The 12,546-nt window shown below is 30.4% G+C and overlaps 1 protein-coding gene across 89 annotated transcripts in view; it reads left to right on the top strand.

Annotated features, from left to right (window-relative positions):
- The window catches only part of RIMS1 (regulating synaptic membrane exocytosis 1), a 516,596-nt gene that overhangs the window by 405,162 nt on the left and 98,888 nt on the right, over window positions 1–12,546 (top strand). For 63 of the 89 annotated variants that reach the window (NM_014989.7, XM_017010522.3, XM_017010519.3 and 60 more), the window contains one exon: window positions 223–335. In NM_014989.7, the coding sequence (NP_055804.2) occupies window positions 223–335 (113 nt within the window). Of the gene's footprint in view, window positions 1–222; window positions 336–4,225; window positions 4,256–5,115; window positions 5,239–10,803; window positions 11,077–12,546 lie in introns of those variants that run through there. The other 26 variants (XM_017010517.3, XM_017010520.3, XM_017010516.3 and 23 more) reach the window with 3 other exon arrangements.

The following is a 12,546-nucleotide window of genomic DNA, read 5'->3' on the forward strand; positions in this document are numbered from 1 at the left end:
ATTCATTATGTAGAACTGTGTGTGGTGCACATTGCCCTATCTCATTTAACCCCTTTTTGTAATATTCCATTTACACATATCATAAAAAGTGTTTGATTCTGCTCCCATTGGCCCAGTGAGGGGGTTTATGTCTATTTTAATCGTAACAGAAAGGAGGAAAGATTTTTGTCAGACCACATTGGAATTTCATTGTTTCATGCCCGCTTTGCTTTTTGCCTGCAGAATGCACCGACAGAGAAGTCCAACACAATCTCCTCCAGCAGACACATCGTTCAGCAGTCGCAGGGGAAGACAGCTCCCACAAGTGCCAGTGAGAAGCGGCAGTATAGAACAAGGTATCCGATAAAGAGAGATCATTGTCCAAAAATCTTGGATTTGAGAACCTCCTCTATTTATACCCCTTTTATTAAATGAATAGTATTTTGATTATATGTAGTTTGCTGCATCCTAAAAATTTGATTTTCTTACAGTTTTATCCCCAACACCTAGTGACAGTGGTTCATGGCATGCACTCAGTTTTTGCTGAGTGAGTTTTGCTGGATGATTGAATTTTAGATGGTCATTTAACAGAAGGGATTTAGGGCTAGAAACATCTTATTCCAAAGTGACAAAGGAAAAAAATAAAATTTAAAAATCTCATTGCAATATGGCATTTTATGTGTTAAAAGAATATTTTATCTTTTAAAAGATTTTTTAAAAATTAAACACTTAATCATACTGAATCCTTTACAAATTTTTTAATTTAACTTGATTAGCAGTAGCCTATATTTTAAGTTTGATGATGAAAAAAATGACAGAACACATGTTTTAGTGTCTTCAGCAGTTCATATTGCTTAAAGATTTCCTTATTTTATGCATATATTATTTCATTTTCTGAGCAACAAAGAAAGAGAAAGAGAGAGAGAATGTATACGGTCTGATTTTAGTAGAAACTAAATTTTCTAAACTACCTGAGCTAGATGATTTAGACACTACGTTAAAATAGTATTCTTCATGTGACCCAAAGTGCTATCACATATCTTAGTAGATGACATGACTTGTTATCATTATTTTTTATCACATGTTTTTAATCAGGAATTTGGTAAGCAATTTACTAAAATAATTTCTACTTTGGGATTGTAATATAAATGTAGTAGAATTACTTTTAAGATATTTATTAAAAACCTTTATCCCTATGAAACAACTGAAAGGTTAACACTTTGAATATTTTTTTCAGCAGTGTTATTGTTGCTGATGGAAAACTTGCATTTCATTTTATATTGAGGGTACGGGGGTACATGTTTTTCTCACTTAATTCAAGTGATTTACTGAATGTATCACAGATATGTCAAAGATCTCAGAAGGTAAATGCATTGTTTCAAAGACTGATGTGGCATAGATTGCCATGCAGAATACTTGATTATGGAAAACTTAGTGTAGATTTTTAAAGGTATCAACTTATTAATAGAGTAACACTGGTGTGATAAACTCTGAGTTTATATTTTTTAAAATACATTCTATTGATACTCCATGCTTTAGTTTTCAGGGTTGCTAAAATGGTATTCATTTAGTGAATCATGAAAATATGATGCATTGTGAAACTCTGACTTTCTTTTTTAAAATCGCAGTTAATTCATTGGAATTATTCATTGACATGTTTAACATTTTTCCTCTCCTCTCTGGGAACATTTTAAAATTATTCATAATTAATCTGGCAATAACCCAGATGAAATTGTTTTAAAATTTATTTTTTAAAGCAAAAGTTGGTGTTTATTTAAATTATCTATTCATGAGCTCCTGTTGCACAACTGAAAGAACTACAAATGTGGGTGTTTAGTTACAAACTCGGTCTTACCGATCATATTTTGCTAAAGATTGATATTCTAAAAGTCATGTGCTCCTAAAATTCTTTGCATTTCCTTCAGTTGCAAATAAAACATTTTATGGGTTCAAAAGCATATAAGGGTACTGCATATAACTCTCCTATAGTGAGATTCTGATTACATTATTTCTGTAGAAATAAGAATTCCTTCCACAAAATAAGTTGTATTGTATGTTGGATTTTGGTTTTTTAAAAAAGCTCATGTTCTATTGTTAATATAAATGTTACTGTTTATGATATTCATATTCACAGTTGTCTTTCAGAGAAATCATCAATTTGTAAGGATTGAATTGAGGTGGGAAGAAGGGAATGACTACATTGGTGGAGTTACTTTGATATTTAATATGACAAATACACTAATAAACATTTTGGTTATTTGAGTTTCCTGAAATATATGATCTTTAGAGTTATATACATACAGCTTTTAAGAAATGTGACAACAAGCATGTATTTTATATATCTATATATATAAATGTTCTATAAATAAAAGAGACCTGGTTGGTGTTTTTTATGATATAAATATGTGCTTTAGGACTTTTGGTAAATGATTATACCGTCTGCCATCATCTTTTTATGGTTCTATTTCAAAATGAACAGTCCACATGACAGCTTTGTTTGTCCTAAAATATGTTTAAAAAAGTAAATTTTAATTTGATTTATGAGTTAGATAGGATTTAGCATGTTCTATTTAAGATTGATTTCATTGTTGTTCTTAAGGCTGTAGAATTATGCCATTTTATTATTTTGAAATTACTTGTTAAACTTTAGTTCCATCTCCCATGAAGATTAATGCTGACCACAGTCTATTACAATTGGTTAAGCCCCTACTGCACTTGACTTCCTTCCCATTTTTTAAAAATGTTTAACAAAGGGTGATTTTCTGTTTAGAAATAATTTGATAAGCAGCTGATTGGTAAGAACAAATATTTCAAATGGTTTAGATTACTAGATACTGATACACCTTCTTGAGGCACTTATAAAATAATTTTATTAATATACCGTTTCTGGGTACAGTTATCTACATTACTGATTTTGGAATGTATGCCAGGACAATTTGACTGTTTCACTGGAAGTATTTTTTTTCTTATAAATCAAATATACCACTCTCTATTTATACCATAAAGGCAGTATCTCTTAAAGGCTAACATATCATTTGGAAACACATGTTTAATCAATTTTTGAAAAGGTGTTTTAAAGTTCATTTTAAAAATTGAGAATGCTAGCCTATTTGCTACATAGAGCCAGATTATGTTGAAGTAGATTTAGGGGAAAAACAAAGAGGTGATCACAATACAGATTTTTGCGGTAGAGTACTTGAAACAGTAGCCTTATAATTTAAGTAACTCTAATGGTATGTGATAATTGAAAGCAAAGACTTCCACAAAATTTTTCTGGTTATATTTCAACACAATATCCCAGCATATCCCTTATGTAGAGTAAGGCTGAAGATAACTTAATTGGTTGTATAAAAATGGATTTCTGAAGCCAACCAGTAACTTTTTTGTGCTCAACTGGATCTTTTAAAGAAGGATTTAGAGATGATTCACAAACTAACAGTAAATGATGTGTTAATTATGTTTTATATCTTCCATTATTATATCACCTATCTAAAACTCCAATGATATTCCTCTTCAGAAATACAGAAACAGGCCATTAGTCCTCTGTAAATGATACAAAACAAAGAGGTGGATATAAAGCCTTATAAAATGTCTAAGAAGTATAGTCTCTACAAAACAACTAATTTTACTTTGGGGTATTTTAATCTAATTAATTTCAGAAGAAAAAAGGATTACTTAAATTAGAATTTTCTTTCATGTGGAAAATGTTACAGAATAGTTTCCGTGGTGCAAACAAAGTGTAAAAATGGAATTTATTTTTTGCTTATCAGATAAAAAAATAAATTTCATTTTATCATATGAGCCTTTATCACATGAACTTTCATTTTTGAAATGATAAAAATTTTTGTTATGAAAATTAAGTATGCTTTTAAATGCTTTTCCAAAAAAAATCACAATGGATTCAAGTTAAGATGTTTTAATAAAATTGGTACTGAAATTTTATACAGCTCTTAAAAGGAAAGAAAAAATAATACAGAATATATTTTTCAAATGCCAAACATACTAATTTCCCAATGTTTTTGTTTCATTTTAAATCTTTAAATTGCTGTATTCATTCTTTCTTTGATTAATTTTAGTACCATATTTGGGAACTCATGGTTTTTCATTGCAATTTATCATGTCACATTATATGTTATGCATTTTAATTATTCATGCCATTGTGTTAATTCACATTTCCATGTCTAACTATAAATTTGCTGATTTCTTTCTTTTGTTTCCATCATTATGTGCATTTAATTCATTGAAGAACAAGAAAAATATAACTCTTCCACAAAAGGTAAATATTAACATAACTTTTTAACCATTTAATATTGTTACTTTTAAAAATATAATATACAAGAGTTATATAACTGTATTTATTGAAATAATGAGCAAAATTAACAGGTAGCTATTTTCCTCAAATGATTTTGTAGTGTATTTGATATTAATTATTTCATATTCTATGTTCACATCAAAGAAGAGAAGATTACTTTAAAATTAATGTTTTTTAAAAATTTTATTTAAAATTAATGTTTTTTTAAAAATTTATTTATCTATACTGACAACTAGAAAACAATTCTCCTAGGAAAATGACATTTTCTTTGTTTCTGTTTGTTTGCATTTCCCTGCTCTCATAGATAAAAGATTTAATTCTATTCAGGGTAATACCTGGTAAAAGTAGAAAATCTCTGGATTTTACTTTCCAGATAGTGGTAACCTTAGTGAATGTTCTGGCCCTGGCTGCAGTCATACATCTGAGAAGCTGCTGCCTAAATGTTACTTCTGTTTGCCTCAATACTGTTAAAATACCCATTAATTTTATCTTTCTGAGAGTCATGGGAGAAGAAAACCATTCAGCATTTTTGGTCTTTGCACTTGAATTTCAAATAGGTTGCAGGCTTCCCCCTACAGTCATATGCTGCCCACACCATTTTCTGTTCAGAGTTGCTGTTGGCCTGATAATTAACTATTTGAACATGAGTTTTCAGCTTAATGTGATAAGGTTAATTATATTTAATAATTATATAATTCTGTATAATTTAATAAAAGTACATTTTCTCAATATTTGAAAGTGGACTGATTGAATTAATTTGTTGCCCATAGTAACAACAAATTAACTCAAAGCTAGTTCTGAAAGTAACATCATTCCTATTTTAGGAATAAGGACACAAGTTCAGAGAGATTATGACATTTGCCCAAACTGCTTGTCAGTAGTAGACTACAAACCCAGATCTTTTTACTTTCGACCTTTTCCTCTACATGTTGGTGTATCCTATTTTAGTAAGTACAAATACCAAATATATTATTTCTCACCCTTAGCATATTTAGTTATGCATTATGTATCTCGGTATTACAAAGAGAACAGTTTCAATTACATATTTGATCTGTATTTATAAAAATGTATTTAACAATATTTATATTCAGGCACTATACATATATATATTATTCTGGCATAGTGTCTGATATATTAGGCAATACATATATTAATTAAAAAATTAAAAAATTCAGTGAGATCAAGATGTTTTGGCCATAGATTTTGCATAGATTTCTAGCCATCTTGCTGCATTTTTATGTCAGATATTGAAAACACAACATTAGATTCAGTAGTACAAGAATGACCAATGTACTTTACTTAGGTCAGAAGAATGTAGTTGGATTTGCAAGATAAATTTTAGTGGGCTAAAAGTATTAGATTCATATTAGAAATGGGCCATGATCTAATTCCTTTATCCAAAAGAAAGAAAAATGTAATAATTCTTCATTTAGAGCCCTTTCCATATATATTACTAGGCAAAAGCTGTACCTAGCTAAATAAAACAAAACAAAATCCATAAGTATAACCTAAAGTCTGCATGAAATATGCACATTTAGGGCCTCTGTGCAGAACATGTCAGTTTGTTTTTATACAGTCAGTGTGTCCTGGCTGAGAGGTGTCATCACCCCTCCAAGCGTTCCTTGGAAACAGGATGTAGAAATGCCTCACAGAATAGACCACATTTTTAGAAATAACCAAAGAAGCACATCCCAAAATGCGTCCAGGAAGGTATAGGTCAGAAAAAGAATGCTGCGCCTCTCCTTAGGGATTTAAGATAACACAGTTTAGCCACTGAACGTGGCTCTCAAAACTTTGAAAGAATAGAAGCAAGGTCAAGAAATTTCATTAAAATCGTATTTTAAGCTCACGTAACCCAAAAGAAAGGAAAAGTTCACAGCATAGAAATCCTACTTCTGTGAGCTGAAGTTTGTCTTTGCTGGGATCTATCTTATTAGAGAATTCAGGTTATTGTGAGTACATCCCGGATAAATGAAGACCAGTACACAAGCCAAGGGGTTCATTAGGGTTTATTTTTTATTAACTGTAGATGAACTTGTAGGACAACCAGTGGTTCCAGTTTGTCAGGGACTGAGGGTTTTCCCAAGATGCAAGACTTTCAGTGCTGAAACTGGGACAGTTCTAAGCAAACGAGGATGGTTGGTTACCCTATAGGGAACCAGTCTATTAATTTTACAGCATATGTTTTTAAAGTCACATAAAGAGAAGTGTAAAATACTCAAAGCATTACTAATGGTAGATAGGCTATATTGAGCACTTACTATATGTCAGTGACTCTACTAAAAGTGTTACATATTTATCTCATTATATTTTCACAACAACTTGAGACCTAACTATTAGTATCTTTATTTTCCCGCCGAAAAGCTAAAAGTTAGGTTAAAAACTTGGCCCCTTATCAGTCAGTATTTCATTTTGTAAATGATAGAATAGGAAACGAGACACAGATCCCCCTCCAGGGAACTTGTTCTCATCCACTTTGCTCTGTAGACTCTTCAACATTCAGACAGCATTTACTGAGTAACTGCTTTGCATGCATCACCACGTAATTATAGTAACACATTTACAACTGCAAGGAAGGCTTTTTTCACCCCTGTTTTATTGAAATAGAGTGAAAGAGGTTAAGTTGAATGCCAAAGGTAAAAAAGCTGCTGTGAGGCAGAACCAGATTTTGAATCCACAGCCCATGTTCTGTGCTCCACACCACGTTCCTGTAACAATCACCACTCAGCACTGGGATTTTGGAGAAGCCCACTTAGTTTCTCCTCCCTTTCCCTATTGACCCAATTTTGCAGCATTCAGTTAAACCTTCTACATCTGGCCTGCTCCTCCAATTGCCATACAGATAACAAATCCTTTGGCTTGAAAGTTAACAAAGCTAACAAAGATAACACATCCTTTGGCTTGAAAAGTTAACCAAGGGACTATAAATGTTCATAGTACTTTGTTTACATTTTAACTCCCTCTTTTATGTTGAAAGCTGAAAGACCATATCATTTTAGTCTTCACAAACTGCTTTATAGGCCTATTTTAAATTATTCATTCTAAAAGTAAGCCAATTTTTCCCTCTCTGCTACATTTCTTGGACAGTTTTAAAGAGCCCATGAATGTAGTTTGGGGGCATCGAAATAATGATATAAGAAGATCAAAACTGAACCAGAAATTAAATGACTTCAAGGTGAGAAAAATGTTATTGTCGTAATAAATTTATGATTTATATGCCTTTAGATACTATTTTTTAAGTGCATTAAGTTTTTGGCTCTTGGAAGCAATTTTGAATCATAACAAAACACATCATATTATCTCTTCTACAAATATGAATTTCCTTAATCATAATAGTGTGTAATTTATACACATGGAGAATGAAAGGCAATTAAAGTAAGTAAATTATTATTTATAGGAACAAAGTAAATAGCATTTTGGTGCTTTTTGCTTTTCTGTTTCACTAATAAAATATGTGATAATTATTGTAACTAGATCATAGAGATTGTAACTAGATCATTAGGATTGTCTCTAGTCAACTATATTTTTTTTAAGTACCAGGTTTCTTTAATAAGTTCTCAAGTAAGTTAACTGTGTTTTCCTTCTTTAAATGTCAGCAAGAACAGTTTGAATGCTAAGTTATGCAAACTATATTTTCCATGAAACTTATGAGCATTAACTTTACTTTAGTGGAATTCAAGTAAAGAAGCGAAAAACATTAATTTTAGCATTTTTTGTACAGTTGTATAAATAAAAATTAAGCACATTTCAATAGCGTACTGTGGTTGTGAAACACTATAAGAACAAATTATGTACTCTTTTTAAAATAAGTAAACCAATTTTTGTGTTTTTCAGAATCAGCATTCTTTTAACTGTCATTAAGTAGCAAAGGTCTCAGTTTTATTTACATTTTTATTAGTAGTAGTAGATGCATATTAGTCCAGGTGAATCATTTTCTGTTATTGTGTGTTAAGATTTCAAAAATACAAGTTTCTTAATATTCCTGGGCATTGCTTCTCCTGAACACTTATTATGAATCTTAATGAATATTTACTCATAAATATTTAGAGCTCCATTAGGAAAAGTAATTTATCCATCTCTTTTTTTGGCACAATCTCATAAATATATTGTCATTGTAGCCTTCTCTTTAAACTTCAGGATCCCAGAGGGTTAAGCAGATTGATTAGAAAAATTCAGAAGTAATGCTTTTGACCCTGTTTTCCCATTTGGTGATTCAGATGTGTTTATTTATAGTGTCATAGGCTTTTAAAGCTTCAAAGGATTTAACACATGTTAACCAAGACACAACTTGCAAGAGAGACCTAATTGAGGAAAACAAATGTCTAACCATGGACAGGCTCTTTGATGTATTTTCTCTAAAGTTGTATATGTTCCCCAAATATTGTAAAACACAGGAAAAGACTTTCAAAAATCAAATTTAAATTTAGCAGAATTGTGCCAATCAAGTCTTTCAGGATAGATTCTGTATCCATTAGTATTATTGGAGTAATGAGAAATTATGGCTAAACATTTTAGAGATCACTTGGTATAAATAACATGGCTTCCTCAGTGATTGGTTTTGTTATCCCCCAAAGAAGGCTTAATTACACAGGTTGCTTTTTGTAAAAATTGTATTTGAAGTGCATCTTATGGGAGATAGTGTTCCCTCTCAAAACCTAAACATGCTTTTAAAAATTGTTTAACTTTGTATAACCCTAAAGGACAAGATATATAACAAATTCTTTTATAAGAGCCTGACTTTCTTACTTGCCAATGACTAGTATTTTCAGTGACACTCTGAGAATTGGCAGTTTTACATTGAGAAATTATGTCTGGAGTTGGACATCCTGAGCTTCGTTTTAGATAGTTCAATGGGAATAGGTGTGCTAAAACAGGAGATGGTCTTGTGGTTTTGGCTGCAGTGAGACTTAAGTGATTATATATACAAATTGCCTCTTTCACCTATGCCAATGTTAAATTTCACTTATCTAAACATAGGTACTTTGCTTTAAAAGTCCGTAAGGCAATGTGGTATTTTCACTTATGTGTTACTCACTTATTGCATTTTCTGTTTCTCATGCTGGTAGATGTATGCTTTATTGGTAGATGATGGGTAAATGTTTATTTTATTGGTAGATGCTGGATAGATGTTCTTTTATTGTTTATATTACTGTAGCATAATCCTTAACATCCAAGAGAAAAGGATGTTATAAGGGAAAATGGGAAACTACTTGGAACATTTTTACACTTACAAGTTGAAAGGGGTCATTTTATTCCAAGAAAGTGTGCCAGAACTAGGGCATTTCTATGTAGTCAAAATATTTTAAAATTTAATCTTTATGTATAATATATATGTGTGTGAAGATGTAGAAGTTGGATATGCACTACATCAAAGTCTCTCACTATGTTTGCATGACTCCAAAAATAAGGATCAACATGAAAATAAAACATTGCAGTTGGCCCACAGTATCCATGGGTTCCACAATGGTGGCTTTAACCAACCATGGATCAAAAATGTTTGGGGGGAAAATGATTGGTAGCATCTGTACTGAATATGTACACACTTTTTTTTCTTGTCATTATTCTATAAACAATACAGTATAACAGATTCATGAGATTTTTTTAAGTTGTAAGCCATTTAATAATACGAAAGGGATAGATTTAGAAAAATGCATATAGGCACTATTTACATGACATTTTCCTTGTATTAGCTCTTATAAGTAACCTAGAGATGAAAGTATATGAGATGAGGTGCTTAGGTTATATACAAATACTATGCCATTTTATATAAGAAACTTGAGCATCCGTGAATTTTGGTACATGTGGTGGGTGGGTTCCTGGAATCAATCCTGAACAGATGTTTTTTAAATTGGGAAAATAACATGATAGAAAATAGTGGTGTAAAATACAACTGGTGAATTTTTTTCCTCGTGATACCTATAGTCAATTGGAAAATTTTAAAATCTGGAAATTAGGTAATAAAGCAAGAGACAAAGTCATTGAGATTCCTATTTTTGCAAATATAAGAAAAGTATTTTAACAATACCCTATTGAAATACTATAGAATCATAGACTACAACTGCTGGAAGGTTCTCTGAGCAGTCTCTTCTTTTTACAGATAAAAATTCTGTAATGGAGGGATATATCAGGAATTGATCAAAGGAACATTGAGGAACTGATGAATGGTGATGGATCTAGGACTGTAATCTATGCCTAGTAATTCCCATTCCTAGGTTCTTACTATTTTGCCACATTGATTCCAGGTATATGCAGAATGCTTATCCATATAAACAATTCCTATTTCTCTAAAGTCTAAAAAACTGTGGGCAGAGACTAGTATTGTATTTTTGAATTTTCAAATAAACCATCTTTCTTGATATATTTTAAGATATAGTTTATACATTAAATATTTCTGATATTTAATGTATCAGATCTGATCTTCCTATTCAGTCTTGGTATAGTCTATACTGATTCAATTAGCTAAACCTTTTTCATCTTTTCTTGTTAATCTCAGCTTTTTTTTTCCACTGCAGTCAATAACTGAAGCATAGGAGGTGTGTCATTTATATTCTTCTGTCTACCTGACAACTTCCAAATAAGCGGTCATTTATCACTGCTCTTCCTGAGAGATGTACTGGAACAAGAATGGGACTGCACTATCATGGAGCTCTCATTGTGTTGCTATACAACAAGGAAGCAGAGATGCTAGTTTTTTCATTCACAAAATATGATAGCACATCATAGTTAACTAGACAGGCTTAAATATCCTGTCCAGGTGTTATTGTGTGTCAACTTTGATACATATATGAGCTGACCTTGTTAAAAAATAATTTTTACATTAATATATTTAATAATATAAAAGTTCTACTTATTTCTGTCCTTTTACAGTCATATTTCATCTAATGCTTGAAAATATTAGGAGGTTTAACAATATATCAATATAAATTATTTTTTGCCTATAAACACAAACGTCTGAAATTTCAAATTCATTTTAATTTCAAGGTGCATAGAGAGAAATGTGAAAGATTTAAGGAATTTTGAGATCCAAACAAATTTATTTTTATATAAATTAAATTTATGAATATTTTAAATATATTACTGCAAGTTTAAATTATAAGCGTTCTAAACTATGTATAACTATAATGTTTACAATATTTTAAAGCAAATTACAAATATGTGATAAGTCAAAGAGGTTTCCTAGAAAATTACTTTATCTCTTTGAAGGAGGTTATATTATAGAAAATTTTAAATGATGGATTAGGGAAGATTTATTAAGGATTTTTGAGGGTTTTTTAAAGTCATAGGCCTTTTAATAATATGAAAGGGATAGATCTAGAAAAATGCATATAGGACAAACAAGATTATAAAATGATTTTAGTTTCTTCATAGATTTATTAAAGATCATTGATAACACTAAATTAGGAATCCTTAGCAAAGAATGTGAAAAGAGTAGTTATTTTAATATCTTTATTTTTAATACTAATACTTTACATTTGAAAATTGTAATAATTACAGTACTTTGTAAATTATATTTATTTTTCTTATCTTGCATACTCCAGTCAGATTCCTTCTTGTTGAGCTTTAGAAGACAAGAAATTATTTCACAGATATGGTTTTCATTTAACTCTTAAAAATAAGTTCCAGTTTTATACTTTCTTAATTTTAACATTGAATTGATTTGTGACATACATAGATTAATATTAAAAAAGCCATAGTTTGGAAAGAACAATGTATATAAAGTTGGAATAAATAAAATGGATCTTGTTCAATAAATACATTTTTGTAAACTAATAAGTGCTTTTTGAAAGTACCATTTTTTTAAAACATAAGGCACATAATTCAGTTGGTACCTTATAGTGAAATATTTCAACCCTTCAACCCCATTTTTATAAAATTGTAATATTACATCTGAGGAACTAAGATACATACATTTTGATCTATAATCACAAAATCTATAATTAATGCTGAAATATAGTCTATAGTAAATATCTTTATCTTTCGACTTTATTATACATAAGCTAAATTTTCATTAAAAGACTAAATGAAATTGCATGATAATTACATTTCTTGTAAAAAATGAAAGTTATTATTTAGCTCTTGATTATGTGGCATTTATGAAATTTTTAAAAATAAAAACCACAGGGCCTCCCAGTTTTAAATTTTCTATAAAGAAATAGCAACTGGCATTTTAATGATTTAGTTAGTTTACAATACTATTAACATTCAGAATGTTCCTAAAATGTGAATGTAATGCTAGGATTTGTGGGGTAATTGGA

Source organism: Homo sapiens, chromosome 6 (assembly GCF_000001405.40).
Source record: "Homo sapiens chromosome 6, GRCh38.p14 Primary Assembly".
Classification (NCBI taxonomy): Eukaryota; Metazoa; Chordata; class Mammalia; order Primates; family Hominidae; genus Homo; species Homo sapiens.